The following is a 16,303-nucleotide window of genomic DNA, read 5'->3' as shown; positions in this document are numbered from 1 at the left end:
CCTAAGCCAGTATGGTCAAAACTACTTGACCAGTAACTCAAAGTTCTTTTCTACAGGCTAAAGAAAAACCAGTTCAAAGCAGCATTTTAACATGTCATTTCAAGGTTTTGAAAAAAATTATAAAAATTTTTATAAAATGTTGAATTATAAAAATGTTGAAAAAATTATGTTGAGCTGTAAAAACATCTTAAGAATCTTCTTCTCTGATTGTAGAATGCTAACTGTAGAAGGAAAACACCAATTATAGAGAAGAAAAAGGATAGATCCCCAAAAGTGAAATTACTGTGTCAGTGGTTTAAGATTTGCGTATTTGATAACATATTGCTATATTGCTTTCTAAAAATGCTGTACCAATCTAAACTTCTGTCTTTTCTACTGTACTTCACTGCCTCTGCATGTTAGTGTTAAGTCTTTTGGTAATCTAAGAGACCAAAAATGTACTCTAACCACATAGGATTCATAGTATTTTGCTTTCAGATTTGTACAAATGCTGTAAATAATATCTTTTTTCCTATTTGATATTAATTTTGAATCTTTCTTCATACTGTTAGCCATGGTTTCTATCCTGCTTATCTCCCACCCCTTCCATGTGCCATGCAGGTCGTAGGAAGTATGTAGCTGTGAGCACACCCACCCAGGATTCAGATGAGCTGGGTTCTAGTACCACACCATTATCTAGCTGAATGGCACAGTTAACCTATTGTTGGGCCTCAGAAAACATACTCCAAAATGAAGGCCTCAAAAACAAAAGTTTTTCTCTGACCTTCTCCTGCCTTCCTGTCTCTCAGTCCCATTTTCCCCTAAGGCTAGCTATAGAAACCAGAATCGCTCTTCCCCAAGGTGGGTTACAAAAACCAGAACCCTTTTTCCCCAAACCCAGTCATAAAACTGAAAAATATTACTCTAACTTTCCCTCGGCCTTTCTGCGTAAAAACTGATCATAAAGAAATTACCTGACCTACCTTGTTTGACTGTGGGTCACAAGACCCCAAGCCAGACAGGGTCCTGCCCCATACCCAGAAGAAAAGAATGCATGCTCAGATAATCCAAGAAAAATCTAGATGGGCCTTGCTGAGTTTCCCCACTCAGTCTATTAACATTAGATCATTCGTATTTTGGCCAATATTTCTATATAATGTCCATACTTTGTTGAACCTAAGCATAAAAATGGGCATTTTCCCCCGTATCTTTGGGTCTTCATTCTGAAGGCTCTTGTGCATATATACGTTACATAAATTTGTATGCCTTTTCTCCAATTAATCTGCCTTTTGTCAGTTGATTTTTCAGTGAACCTTCAGAGGGCAAAGGGGAACTTTACCCTTGGCCCCAAAACTACTTTGGTTTCACTTTCCCCTTAATGATTGGATAAAACGGCCTTTTAAGTTCAAATTCTATTCAATTTCATTTTTCCCTCTCTTAAAGTTCCTTCTCTGGTGATCCTGCAATTCTTAAACTAACTCTCTTCATAGATACCAATTTTAGAAAAGCCTTACTGAATATCCATCTATATATTATATGATACCTTAAAGATTTCAGTAGGCTAACAGAGAAGGTAAGAAAAAATAAGATAATGTTAAAAGGTTAGGGGGAAAACAGACAAAAAAGCAGAAGAAAGACATACTTATATTGGCATCATATATTTGGCAAATGATATTCTTCCACAACCTCAGTTAGGGTGCTTTTCTCAGAGAACTGCCACTGTGGTGATTTACTTCATTTTTCCATCTTAGTATGCCTTTGAATTGCTTCAAATTACATGCAAAACTTTGGGTGAGAATCTGCATTTCTGGGGAAGAATAATCATGGCTTTCATCAGATTCTCAAAAGGGTTAATTTAGCAAAAAGACTGAAGGCTCCTTAACCTAGACAAACGACTCATGTCCTATCTTCCGGTCCACTCTTTCTTCTCTGAAGCAGTTGCGGGCCATATTGGGATTTTCTGTGCCCTTCTCTTTATTTCTGAGACTGTCTGGGACCCCTTTCCTTAAATGGTACCAATAAAAACCTCTCTACTCCCACTATAGGATGAAGATTCATTCACTGCAATCCATCCCACCACAACAGAAACACTGCATATGATAACTGGATCATTCCACACCAGAGTTGAGCCATGTAATGAGTAAAATGTGGTTTCATCCTAAAAATCAGTATCTTATTTGACCCATGAAAAAAAGGGCCTCTGCCCTGCGAAACACAGAGGACTGTCTCTCCTTTTACAGAGGTGTGTGTGGGTGGGAAAGTGCATGGAGTAGTGATAACTGAAAATCACTGCCCTAGAAAACCAGAGAAAGACTGGGCACAGTGGCTCACGCCTGTAATTCCAGCCCTTTGCGAGGCCGAGGCAGGCAGATTGCCTGAGCTTGGGAGTTCAAGACCATGCTGGGCAACATGGTGAAACCCCATCTCTACTCAAATACAAAACAATTAGCCAGGCGTGGTGGCGCACACCTGTAGTCCCAGCTACTCGGGAGGCCGAGGCAGGAGAATAGCTTGAGTCCAGGAGGTGGAGGTTGCAGTGAGCCGAGATCACACCACTGCACTCCAGCTTGGGCTACAGAGTGAGACTCCATCTCAAATTACCAGAGAAAGATGGCTGCAGCTGTTTTTGCTTCAAGTTCCCCATTCCATGTCACCTAGAGTCAGAGTCTAAGCAGAATGAGTTCCCCAAAAAGCTAGGCTTCCACCTTCTATCTGTCCAGCTACTCGGCTAGTATAGTTCTGGGAGATGCTTGGAACTATCTATCTAGAAATCCTGAGATGGAAAAGTACAGTATCAAAGGAGGGGAACCTGCCCACCCTGGCTCCCTGAAGGAAACTGACAGTCAATCCCAGGCCAGGGTCCTACTGACTGGATCAAGCCTGCAAGCTACTTGGACCTCTGCACTGAGACGGCAATGCCTAGGGAGCAGGCTGGGGACCCTGCATGGGAAAGCAGGCCAGGCTGCGGGCATAGTATGGTCTATAACATTTAAATATTTAGGCCAGTGGTTCTCAACCAGGGACAATTTTGTCCCCCAGAGAACATTTGGCAATATCTAGAGACACTTTTGGTTGACAGAAGCTTGGGGCAGGAGGGTTACTCCTGGCTTCCAGTTCGTAGAGGCCAAGGATGATGTTTAATGTCCTATAGTGCATAGGACAGCCCCTGTTACCCCTAAACCTGTCCCAGACATCAATAGTGTAAAGACTGAAAATCCCTGATTTAAACTATGATTTGCAGACCTCCATTTGTATTCTTGTCTCAGACCTCAAATGTGGTACAGACAGGCCTGCAAAGAACACAATCATAAACTAAATATATATATATTTTCCTTTTTAGAGATAGGTCTTACTCTGTTGCCCAGGCTGGAGTATAGTAGTGAGACCATAGCTCACTGCAGCCTCAGCCTCCTGGGCTCAAACAATCCTCCTGCCTCAGCCTCCAAGTAGCTAGGACTATAGGCATGTACCAACACACCTGGCTAATTTTTAATTTTTCTGTAGAGGCGGGGTCTATGTTGCCCAGGCTGGTCTAGAACTCTCAGCCAAAAGCGATCCTCTCTTCTTGGCCTCCCAAAGTGCTGGGGTTACAGATGTGAGCCACTGCACCTGGCCAAATTATAAAACTTTTATAACACTATCTTTATGGGAAAAAAAAGTTCCGGTTATGGTATCCAAAGAATAACTTATCTGACTCCAGTTACAATTCAATCTATTCTGCATATAGGCCAGAAGCATGTGGGGGAGCAAGGCGGATGAAGAGAGGTTGGTTAATAGGTAAATCATACAGTTAGACGGAGTAAGTTCTAATGTCTGATAACAGAGTAGGATGACTATAGTTAATAACAATGTACTGTATATTTCAAAGTAGCTAGAAGAGAGGATTTGAAATGTTCCCAACACATGGAAATGATAAACACTCAAAGTGATGGATACTCTAAATACCCTGACCTGATTGTTACACACTGTATGAATCTAACAAAATATCACATGTACCCTACTCCATAAATGTGAAAATATTATGTATCAATTTAAAAATTTTGTAAAGATTCAATTTTTAATTTATTTGGCATTTACCAAGCACCTATTATATAACCAGGCACAGTGCTAAGCAAAAGTGACAGTGTAAAACTGATGGGATCCTGTTCAACTCCTGCCTGGCTCAGAGCACTATAGTATGAAAAAAGAGCTGGGACTTAAGAGGTCAGACCCATCTAGTTGCAATAACAGCTCTATTACTTACTGTCATTAGGAATGTTACTTAACTTTTCTGAACTTCAATCTCTCTATCTTCTAAAACAGGTCAAATAGGGCCTCCCTCAAAGTGGAAGAGTTAAAGAAGATAATTCAGGTAAAGCACAAAGTATACTGCCTACCACACAATCAGTATTCAATAATTACTTCCTATTACTAATAGCAAACTGTAAGTCTTCATAAAGTAATCAGTAAGTTGGAAACTGCTACTAAGCCTATAAAAAAGCCACCGTAACTGTTGATTGCGAGAGCATATAAAACCCCTCAAATGGCCGGGAGCGGTGGCTCACACCTGTAATCCCAGCACTTTGGGAGGCCGAGACGGGTGGATCACGAGGTCAGGAGATTGAGACCATCCTGGCTAACACGGTGAAATCCCATCTCTACTAAAAATACAAAAAATTAGCCGGGCGTGGTGGCACATGCCTGTAGTCCCAGCTACTAGGGAGGCTGAGACAGGAGAACTGCTTGAACCCGGGATTTGGAGGTTGCAGTGAACAGAGATCTCACCACTGCACTCCAGCCTGGGCGACAGAGCGAGACTCCCTCTCAAAAAAAGAAAAAAAAAAAAACCTCAAATTCTGGCTTTCTCTTTCTCCAGCATTATCTCCTACCACCTACATAATCATTAATGTAGCCCCATGTCCCCACAAGTGGGGACAGACTGAAAGATGAGATCTGGGCAGCAAACAGGGCAGTGTCAAGCCAAAGGTCACTGCAAAAAAGAAAATTCATCAGCTACAACTCTGGCAGGACACATAGGTGGTGGGTAGAAGAAGGGAGGAAGGAGGGAGATGGGAGGGGAGGGGAGAAGGAAGCAAAGGGACAATGAGGAAAGGGGGGAAGAGGGGAAAAGGGGAGAGAAAGAATGAGAATATGAATGAACACAAAAGGCTAATAATCCAGTAATATGAAAGTGTAGGTCAAGTTTGCATGTAATGTGTCTCTAAAAGGAAAACACTTCAATCAGCAACCCTCTTTTATAATTCATTCTGCATTTCTTTCATAAAAATAAATTAAAAAATAAGTTAAATGTAATTAGCCTCATCAAAAGAAAAACAAACATGGAGTAACCATATTATTATTACAGCCTAAGAAATTTGCCTAGACCTCAACGTCAGTACCTAAATGAGAAAAGAAAGCATTCAACACACATAATTACTCAAAGTATAGTTTAACAGCAAACAATATTTGAGAGTTTTGGTTTTCCCTAGAAAATATAGAATAACTTTTCATATAAAATAAAAGAGCACATTTTACCGGACCTGTTTTGAGGCAAGTTATCTGTGAACTCAGGAGCCATTTTCACATAAGGAGTTTACTAAAAGTTTAAGTTTGTGTCTATATAAACAAGAATCTACTTAGCACACCAGTGATATCCACAGCTTTTCCAAAGATTTCTGTGACAGGATGGAAGCAAATGCATTCTTGTAAGTTCACAGAACGATTTAAATTTTTGACCAAGCTTACATTTGTCTTAATGTAACTCAAGGGGAAAAAAAGGCTAAACTATTATCAATTTAGTGCTAGAGAAAAATTAATGTTACTATGCTCACTGTGGTTACTGATTATAGGGGCCAGTTCTGTGTTCAAGTCATGGTTTTACTCCATGGAAACTCTCAGAAGGCTCAGCTTCCCGATACACAACATAAAATGATGAAGAAGCTTTAACAGTCGTTCCAACTCAAACTCCGATTCAGAGTTTGAAAATCTTTCAAATAAAACGCTTCTTAATGGTCCTTTGAATGGAGAATGAAATAAAGGCCTCTAGAAAAATGATGTGTCAAATTATAGGTTTACAGGTTTGCAACAGCATTCAGCAGCATAGTCTTGAAATCTGTGCCTAAGGATTGTTTCAGACTACAGGCTTGTAACACGACCACAAAATTGTTTCTGTGTCCTGGCAGTTTCCTGTCAGGCATCCTTCCAGGTGGTTGCTTTCTCAAAGAGTCTACGGATCTCCAAAATAATTCTAGTGAAGTGGCTGTTAATATTCATGAGATATATCATTGCTTAACCAGTGGGGTTACTGCATGCTTCACTGGATTCTAGTTATTAACAACAGTTTCAATGAGTACCAATATTCCAAATAAGCAACAAAATAGCAAGAGTAGAATAATTCTATGACTTACAGCAAGGGTTGCTCTCGGAATTGTAGAGTCTGAGAGACCACAGTGATCACCTCCAACCCTTTGATTTTAATTAAAACTCGTACGGATTAACTGGCTTGGGCTTATCACTAAGCCTCTCAACCATTTAACATTAAAACAACCAATCAAACAAAAACACTTAGCTTATCTGAGCACAGTTTTCCTCCTAAGAGCTGTGAACTTCCTCCTAAATTCCTACAGAGAATAACAATTTTGCCATCTCTGTGTTGGATATATATTCTACAAACAGAATTTCAAAGAAATATTGTTGTCCACTGCACTATCCCAGCAATTTCGGCAGCTGTGACTGCCAAAGGAGAGAAAAGGCAAATATGAACACTATTCACCTCACACTGGTACCCCCAATCAATCCACAGCACATTTTTATTCAGTCATAAAAAATGTACCATGACAAATATTAACAATGACAGATAAAACAAACATTTCACTTGTCTTCCAGTCAGGGTGTGAAATCTGCATTCTTAACTATGTAAACTCCACCATGGCCCATCCTAAAATCATTTTGCAGAATGAACTCAACATTTGAAAAGAAACGAGTTTACTATATCCACTCTGTGAAGCTAGATAACCCTAGAACATAACTAAAAATTTTATTTCACAGGATAATTCTGGCATGTTACCAATAAATTCTACTTGAAGCCTCAACTTTCAATAGGTGCTTACCTCCTCCCCTTTGGTTTCTCAGAAAATAAAAGATTAGCATAGTGCTAGTCTCAGATATTCACTGAATAACGTGAACATGAATTTAGAAGTACTAAACTGGCAATAACAATGAAGATGATTGTAAATGATATTCCTCCAGCCAAAAGGAATAAAACAGAAATTTAAACTGGACATATTTACTGGATGCGAAGTCCAAGAACGTGAGTTAAGGACACACAGTAGTGTGTGAAGAAAACAAAATCCACAGTACCCACACATGTATGAGGAGTTAAAAGTAATCTCTACATCAGGACTATGTAAAGATTTGCCACAGGAAAATCTTTAAATCTCAAAAAGATATTTAAATATCTTTAATATCAATTTAAATTTAATATCCTTAAATATCAGGAAAATATCAATCTTTATAATATCAAGAAATAACTCATCTTTTCCCACCACTAGACGAAACGTGCATTGGAGACTGACCTGGAAATTCAGCGTCCCAGATGGCTACAAAACAAGGACAACTAGAAGTAGTTATGAATTCTAGGAAATATATTCACAAGTGTGTAAAGATTCTATAGTATTGAACACTTAGTCAAAGGAGTCCTACTTGAATTCTCAAATCAATGACAAAGTTGCTTCCTCTCTACCCAAGATCAGGAGCTTCCCTAGTTTGCACATATCCACATTGACCAGTGGCTATAAAGTCACACTGCGATTATCTGGGTCATTTTAAAATAGGTCATTAGCAGTACTTGTAGTATCGCGTCTGTCTAAAAATCCTCCAACACCGAGTGACTTTTAAACTTTGGGGTGCCTTGGTAACCCCAGGGACGCTTATTAGACATGCAGACTCCGGGGCCCAAGCTCCAGACTAATTCCATGGGAATAGGGCGGGTCCCGAAACCGGCATTTTTAATCATCTGCCCGGGTGAATCCGAAGTGTGGTCCAAAAGCCACAGTCGAGGTGCCTCTGCCTAACAAGCTCCACAGAAAGCTCCGACTTCAGCCGCCCCGACGGCGATACGGACGCCGAGTTAGGCTGTCGGGGGTCTGTCTGGCGGCCGCGGGAAGGGACTCGGGGCCGGCGCGTCCACTAGCGACGTCCGGCCCGAGGTGAGAAGGGACTGACAATGGTACCGCAGTTATTTTCAATATTTCCATAAAGTCCCACGAAGCCGTGTGGCCGTGGGAAAAGGGCTTTAACTTTGAAATCCCACGGGTCAGGTTACCACCAGCTCTGCCGCCTCCTAACAGCGCGTCCCCGCAGTTCCCTTAACGTTCGGGCCTCAGTTTCCCGATCCGTGCAACGGGCTCACGCCATCTCCGGAAGGCTAAGCCGAAACGAAACTAACTCCGCCGCTCGCAGACACTTCCTGGCTCTGCTCAGCGCGGCCCAGCCTCCCCAGCCGCCCGGGAGGAGTACCCGGCCCAAGCGCGTCGCGCAGGCAGTCGCCTCCCAACGCCCCCGGCCCTCGGCCGGCCACTCACGGGTAGGCATGGCGATCTCGACCGCGCTCGCCGCCGCACCGAGGCTCAGCGGGGCCGCGCAGGGAGCGCCGACGGCACCATGACGGCCGTTGCTGGGCCGCGGAGGCCGGAACGAGGCGAAGGGCGAAGGGCGAAGGGTGGAGGGAGCGGACGCGGACCCCGCGGTCACGCAACCAAGCGGGCGACAGCTACCGCCGCCAGCCCACTCCTCGCCGGGCGGCGCGACGGACGACCCACGCCCGTTACGTCAGCGCGCCGCCGCCGTCCCGGCCCCGCCCCCGCGGATGGCCGGGCTCGGCCCAGGATCCCTTGTCGAGCGGGTGGAATGGGTGGCTGGGGACAGCCACGTAGAACAACTTCGGGTGCCTTCTATTTTCCAAGCCTGGTGACCTGCGTGGCATTCGTTTTCCTTGATCTCTATTTGGAGTGCATCACTTTACGTTTGTGAGGATGATGGCTTTGAGCGCACGGAGTACCTGTGGGCTTTTTCTTTTGCAATCGGTTTAACTTGCAGTGCGTTTTGCATACTCTGAAAGCATGGTTTATTTGAGATGCACTAAGGTCATTTGGGGTGATGGCTGCTCATTTTTTGAGAGGGCAGAAAATGTAATTTCCTTTTGCTCTTGTGACTTTCAGAGCGACCTTATCCCTCAGGAGTTAGTCTCCTCTGGAGAGGGCAGCTCTGTGCACTTGGCTGAGCTACTCTTCTTGACTCTGGGTGTCATTAATAATTGAGGTATCTAATAGTCACCAAGCTGAGCAGACACCGGGAGCCAGAGAGCTGAGCAACGCACCTACACTATGCTAGGCGCCGTGGGCTGCGGACAGCCCATATGGAGATATAAAAGCCAACCGCAGAGGTTTAACACAGCCTTCCTCAAAGTGGGTCAAAGTGGTCCAGGATCCTTTTGTGCTTGGATCCCCTGGGGACTTGTTGAAAAGCAGATTCCTAGGTGCTGAGCCAAATCTACGAACACATATACAGATGATTTAAATACAATGATAATACTGAGAACCTTTGTCCTAAAAAGTAGGGCTAACCTTCTGATTAAGAAATGATATTGTGCAGTACTGGGAGGAGAAGATGAAGAACATGAAGATCAGAGCTAGGAAGCGCTGAGGAGAAATTAGTCTTGGCTTGAGGTGGACTTGGAAGAAAGCAGAATTTGAATTAGCAAAGCCTAGGGGAGTCCTAAAAGAGGCTGGGGAGAGGATGAAGGGTAATTTAGAGTGAGTCATGGCAGCTGGGGAGAGGAGAGTGTGTACTGTACCTATAAAAGAGACTGTCCAGCTGGGAACGGTGGCTCACGCCTGTAATCCTAACACTTTGGGAGACCGAGGTGGGCGGTGGGCAGATCACCTGAGGTCAGGAGTTCGAGATCAGCCTGGCCAACATGGCGAAACCCTGTCTGTACTGAAAATGCAAAAATTAGGCGGGGGTGGTGGCACATGCCTATATTCTCACTCAGCTACTTGGGAAGCTGAGGAAGGAGAATCGCTTGAACCCAGGAGACGGAGTTTGCAGTGAGCCGAGATCGGGCCACTGGACTCTAGCCTGGGCTACAGAGCAAGACTCCATCTCAAAAAAAAAAAAAAAAAAAGAGAGACTGTCCCTTGCTAACAGTAAAGACCAAACTACCTAGTGCTTATTCATGTTTTAATGCCCTGTTGCATATTTTATCACCTATAAAATCTTTCATGCTTCCAGTTTTCTCCCTAAGACTTTGGCATTATCTTGATTCCTCTCTGCTACAGCACTTTTCTCACTGCATCCTAAATAAACTGTCATGAGTGCTTGTGTTTTACCATGGGCCTATTTGCTTTTCAGAAAATGGCAAAAGCCATATTCTGTTCATGTTTATGTATCCTTGGCTGGCACACAGGTGGGGGCCAGAGTATATTAATTCAATATATAAATAAAGGATTTTATTCAAGAGTATGAAAACAAAAACAGGTAAATAAAACTGATAAACAACTTTACATTCAACCTTGGAATTTGTCTTTTAAGAAACTGTTCTGTGATTTTTACAAAAAGCATAACAGTAACATTAAATTATCAGAAGCAGGGCCTTGCAGGGGGAATGGTGTGGCAGAGAAACTGTGGAGGTAGGCAGCCAAATCGGAAGGCCCCAATACAGGAGAGAGTGTTAGGTGCTCAGTCTTGGTGGTGGCTGTGGAAAAAGAAAGAACTGAATCTTACTTTGGAAAAGAATCCCTGGATTTGTTGGCTGCTGACTTGGGAGCAATAGAGAGGCATCTGTTAGTTATGTAACTCCAAGGTTGGAACAAGGAAAGTGGTGGTGCTGGAGAGCAGTAGACCAGTCAGGAAGAAATGCTGTTTTAGGGAAGGGGTGTGAAGAAAGGTGTGAGTTTCTCCTTGACATATTGAGCTTGAGGTGGTATCAGAGGGAGACATCCGAGTGAATGAATCTGAAGGCAGCTGGGCAAGCCAGGATGAAGGTGGGCTGAGGGACCTCAGGGTGGGAGATTTGGAAATCTTTGGTCCCGGGACAGGAGCTGAAGCTGGGTGTCAAAGAGAGCCCTTTTAGGGAAGATGTGGAGGCAGTGAAGGCACAGAGAGACGAGATCCACAGGATACAGTGCCCCAGGAGCCAAGGGAAGACATGACTCCAAAAGGCAGACATCTCTGCTTACATTACCTTGAAAAAGATGCAGATCCCAAAGGCCCTGAAATTGTCCTGCACATACTGGTTGTTTTTTTGTTTGTTTGTTTTTCATTTCTTTCTGTTTTTAATCCTCTTGGTCTTTTGGTTTTGTATTGTTGCCAGAAATAAAAATCAGCAGCCAAAGATTCTGAGGAAGGACAGCTGAATGTCAGGAAAAATAGTGTCATAATGTTTTGATTATATATACAGTACCTACGTGGTTTTTTTTTTTTCCCTAGTTTGTGCACATTGGTAGCAATGTTACCATACTCTTTCCCTAACCTATCCTCTGGATCCGAGTTCTGCCGGTGTATCCACCACAGCCAGCCCCCGCTTCCTTTTTGATTTTTTTTTTTTTTTTTGAGACAGAGTTTCACTCTGTCGCCTAGGCTGGAGTGCAGTGGTGCAATCTCACCTCACTGCAGCCTCCACCTCCTGGGTTCAAACAATTCTCCTAACTCAGCCTCCCAAGTAACTGGAACTACAGGTGCATGCCACCACGCCTGGCTAATTTTTGTAATTTTAGTAGAGACGGGGTTTTGTCATGTTGGCCAGGCTGGTCTCAAACTCCCAGCCTCAAGTGATCTGCCTGTCTCGGCCTCTCAAAGTGCTGGGATGACAGGTGTGAGCCACCACGCCCGGCCCCCTACCCCCTACTTCTGAGAGCAGAGAGTCTGCCGTCATCTTTGGTACTTGGTCTTACCCCTCTTGGTGTATCCCCTTTTGCAAACACCCTTCCCCTTTCTATCCCCTCTGTGTCAGTGCTCCTCTCTTGGAGCCCAGTCTGGGCTGACAGGAACGAGGATTTAGCCATCTCTCTTGGTGCCCACACTGCCCAGCTCTTGTCCTGGACACTATGTGTGGTAGACATGGAGACGAGTCACCAGATCCCTTTAAGAGAAGACACACTGCCTTGGCATTTGAGCCACTTTAGTGTTTGAGCTTGGTATTTGAGGTGATGCTTTTGTCAGGGTGCAGGGCAGGCAGAGTGCCCTTTCTAACATGCAAATCTAATGATACCTCTGATATGGTTTGGATATTTGTTCCCTCCAAATCTCATATTGAAATTTGATCCCCCACATTGGAGGTGGGGCCTAGGTGGAAGGTGTTTGGGTGATGGGGGTGGATCCCTTATGAACAATTTGGTGCCTTCCTTAAGGTAATGAATAAGTTCTCTGTTGGTTCCTGCAGTATCTGATTGCTAAAAATTGTCTGGCACCTCCTTTCCCTCTCTCATGCCATGTGATGCCTCCTCCCTTCCCCTTCCACCATGAGTAGAAACTCCCTGAAACCCTCACCAGAAGCAGACACTGGCACCATGCTTCTTATACAGTCTGCAGAACTGTGGGCCAAATAAAGTTCTTTTCTTTATAAATTACCCAGCCTCAGGTATTCCTTTATAGGAATGGAAATGGACTATGACCTCTCACCTGCTAACACTTGTCTATGGCTCAGTAGAGTGTTCAGTCTACAGTTCAAAGCCCTTAGCTTAGCACAGGAAGCCTTTCAAGGCCTGACATTGAGAGCTCTTCAGTTCCCCTACATTGCAACTTACGCTTTGCTTCCCCTGGTCCTAATGAGTGCACAGTTCTCAGAAACCACTCTGCTGTAGCACTCTTCCATTCTTTTGCCCATGCTCTTTGCCCTGCTGGAATGGGCTTTTCTGTCCCCTGCTCTAGCTAACTTCCAAAGTCCTTGTGAGTGTTTGGTGTAATTAAGTATGCCCTATGACCTGGAGATCATCCTTCTGGGAATATATCCTGGAAAATTTCTCACCAGGGTCCACAAGGAAGATGGATAAAAAGGTTAATTGACGTGTTGTTCATGGCAATGCGGAGTTGGAGGCCACCTAGGCGTTTGTCACTTGCAGAACATGGTGGATTCATACGTACTGTGGATGCACATCAGCAACATGGCTTGATCTTAAAAATGCAGAATTGGCCAGGCTCAGTGGCTCACGCCTGTAATCCCAGCACTTTGGGAAGCCAAGGCGGGTGGATCACTGGAGCTCAGGAGTTCGAAACCAGCCTGGCCAACATGGTGAAACTCCGTCTCTACTAAAATAACAAAAATTAGCCAGACATGGTGGTGGATACCTGTAATCCCGGCTACTTGGGAGGCTGAGGCAGGAGAATCGCTTGAACCCAGGAGGCAGAAGTTGCAGTGAGCCAAGACCGTGCCACTGCACTCCAGCCTGGGCAACAAGAGTAAAACTCCGTCTCGAAAAAAAAAAAAATGCAGAATTAAGAAGCATCAATATTTATAGCACAGTACTATTTATGTCATTTTTTAAAAAACATGCACGTAGAAAACATGGATCTCAACAATGATATATAAGGAGGTGAAGGGAAAGGGAGTGAGAATAGGGAAATAAAATTAGCAAAAAAAGGGCTTTGAACAGAAAGACGACAGTGTACAATGAAAAAGGAATGTGATTGCTGCAGTCTTTGCAACTGATTTTTTTAAAAAAGAAACAAATTATTTTCAAATATCACTAAGTACAAAAAGACCTTCCAAGACTTCTAAGTTGGCTTTAAGGTGTTTCTTTCAAGTTCCAGAGCTAATTTGCATACCTCCATCCTGTCTCTGAAGGGCCCTAGTGCTTCTTGCGGTACATAGCAGATATTGGGGACTCCCAGTAACTGTGGTGGATCCTAAGGAGGGCTGCTGAGGCCTGCATGTGCAGGTGGGATAAAGAACCAAGGTAATGTGGGCATTAACTTGTCCTTATTTATACATATAGGCTGGTCAGGACTGGGACATTTGTTACCTCATTACCTATATATTAATCATTACTAATAGTACCTGTTTATTTTGTTTAAACTCTTCAAAAGCCAATGTTGAGTTCAAATCAAGAAAGACATTCACTAGCACTTAAATAGAAGAGTACTTTCTTTTTTATGTTTTCTGGCACATTTTCAGAATACATGCCATTAAAAATAGAAGTTCTTTGTCCCTTCTTTTATTCCTTCTCAGAAAATAAGAGGTCAAAATAATATTAGAAAGGTCGTTGTTGATATCCTATTAGAGCATTGGCTTTTAGCTCAAATTGTCCAAAATAGCTCTGTTTCCAGTTTAGTGTAGTATTTGTTCCAATTTCTAAATCCTGCACTGAGAGAATTCACTTTTAATTAGCATGCATTTTAGTGCTTCAAAGGTAATTGCCAGCAAATTTACAGTTTATAGGAAATAATTAATAAGGCTATAGATTCACTCCTCCTAAAAGCTTATTCCAAAAAAGTCATAATGATGCAATCTGATGCTCTCATTGCTTAGTTTTTTTCTCACAATACATATCAATAATATGCCCTTTTTTTCATTTCATTCCATTTCATTTTACCATTGATTAATCATAACTTAAGGCTTTCCAGTTCTTATGAGGCATAAAAAACACAGACTTTAGACACAGAAAACCTGAGTTTGGATTCTGCTTTCCCCACAAAGGAATTGGAAACACTTATGAAAACATACAAAAAAGATAAGTCTTGCTAAAGTAAATTAAGATGCAGACCAGGTCTAAAGAACCCCTGAGCAGATAAAACCAGTTAGGCCTTGTGAGTGAACTAAGCCTTGCTTGATTTGCAAATGTAAGTAAAACTTAACTTGAGCTATTTCTTGTAAATGCTGAAATTCAAGAAAAAACAGAACTTAAGCTCAACCAATCAGAAGTTATCAACAAATTTATATAACTAGGGACTTTCTAACAGAATAAACCAAGTATGGGGACTGTATAATTATAATCAATCAAATATTTTATTTGCTTTACTTCTATGTCCATCCTATAGAAACCTTCCCCTGGTGTTCCCTCCGAAGATTCATGCATCGCTATTTGTGCAAATAAACTCTTTAAAATTTTATTATGCCTCAGTTTACATTTTCTTCTTCTTCTTTTTTTTTTTTTGAGATGGAGTTTCGCTCTTGTTGCCCAGGCTGGAGTACAATGGCATGATCTGGGCTCACTGCAACCTCTCCCGGGTCTAAGCAATTATCCTGCCTCAGCCTCCCAATTAGCTGGGATTACAGGCATGTGCCACCACACCCAGCTAATCTTGTATTTTTAGTAGAGACCGGGTTTCAGCATGTTGGTCAGTCTGGTTTCGAACTCCTGACCTCAGGTGATCTGCCCGCCTCGGCCTCCCAAAGTACTAGGATTACAGGCATGAGCCACCACACCCAGCCAGCTTACCCTTTAACAGCCTCTAATCCAGAAGGTCATTGCCCAAACTTTTCGGTGCCAACTAGGACACTGTGCAAGGCAGACACTCCCGATCATGTCATGAGCCAAATGTCTCAGTCATCTCTGCTTTATAAAGAGAATTGCAAATGGGTGGAGCAAAATCTTGAGATAATCAGGTTAAGAGTTCTTGATTAAATCAGACAAAACAGCTGGAAACCCTTCCTTAGAAACACTATCATTTTAAACAATTAGAGGAAAGCATTAACTCTCATTGTTATTTACTAAAATGTTAGCTAGCTTTAGCATTTAACACAGAGTGTAGGGGAGCTGCTGAAAGGAGAGAAAAAAATCTTCTAAATATGGTCTCATGCTAGGCAGTGAGTTTTTTACAAGACTTTTATGACAATTGGTATCAAATCTTATTTATTGCTGTATCTCCTGCACATGAAATATTTTATTTAATAAATATTTGAGGAAGTGTGGGAATTGGAGGAAGAGAGGGAGGGAGGAAGGGGAAAAACATAAAGGGCAAGCATCACAGAGAGGTCAGTTGAAGTATTGAAAGGAGATCTTTGTGGTAGATTAGAAAAATCGCTTAGATTTTTTTTACCTCTGGCTATATCTACACTCTTGCAGTTGATTTGGGGATACCTCCCCCGAAGAGATAATTTTTTCCTCATCTCTGAGTCTGCATTGTCCTTGTAACTTGCTTTGACCAAAGAGGCAGTGACAAACATTATGTGAGCAGAGACTTAAAAAGGGTGAAGAAGCCCAAACTTTCTATTTGAAGAGAGAGGCGCCAATCCTCCTAATCATCCCAGATGAGGCCACCATATATCAGTCAGCCCCTGCTGGTCACCCAGCTAAACAAGAATTCAAAAGTCAGCCTAGCCAAAAGCCACATAAGCACCACCCAGCTG

General features: G+C 42.9%; 1 protein-coding gene across 7 annotated transcripts in view, besides 2 other annotated features; it reads right to left on the bottom strand.

Annotated features, from left to right (window-relative positions):
• EFR3A (EFR3 homolog A) overlaps positions 1 to 8,770 on the bottom strand; it is a 109,550-nt gene extending 100,780 nt beyond the window's left edge. For 5 of the 7 annotated variants that reach the window (NR_136615.2, NR_136616.2, NM_001323553.2 and 2 more), the window contains exon 1: positions 8,541 to 8,770. Coding sequence is in view for 2 of the 7 variants with exons in the window: in NM_001323558.2 (NP_001310487.1) it covers positions 8,541 to 8,550 (10 nt within the window). In the remaining 5 variants the exon portion in view is untranslated. Of the gene's footprint in view, positions 1 to 7,532 lie in introns of all 7 variants that reach the window. The other 2 variants (NM_001323555.2, NM_001323554.2) reach the window with 1 other exon arrangement.
• Positions 7,774 to 7,823: an enhancer, noted in NCBI's record as "active region_27991". NCBI's record gives its function as "activates an Ori minimal core promoter by ATAC-STARR-seq in GM12878 lymphoblastoid cells {active_cell/tissue: GM12878}" and the evidence as "EXISTENCE:reporter gene assay evidence [ECO:0000049][PMID:35858748]".
• Positions 8,394 to 8,873: a silencer, noted in NCBI's record as "silent region_19556". NCBI's record gives its function as "represses an Ori minimal core promoter by ATAC-STARR-seq in GM12878 lymphoblastoid cells {active_cell/tissue: GM12878}" and the evidence as "EXISTENCE:reporter gene assay evidence [ECO:0000049][PMID:35858748]".

Source organism: Homo sapiens, chromosome 8, assembly GCF_000001405.40.
Source record: "Homo sapiens chromosome 8, GRCh38.p14 Primary Assembly".
Taxonomy (NCBI): Eukaryota; Metazoa; Chordata; class Mammalia; order Primates; family Hominidae; genus Homo; species Homo sapiens.
The sequence above is the reverse complement of the archived record's forward strand: the minus strand, read 5'-3'. Positions and strand labels throughout refer to the sequence as shown.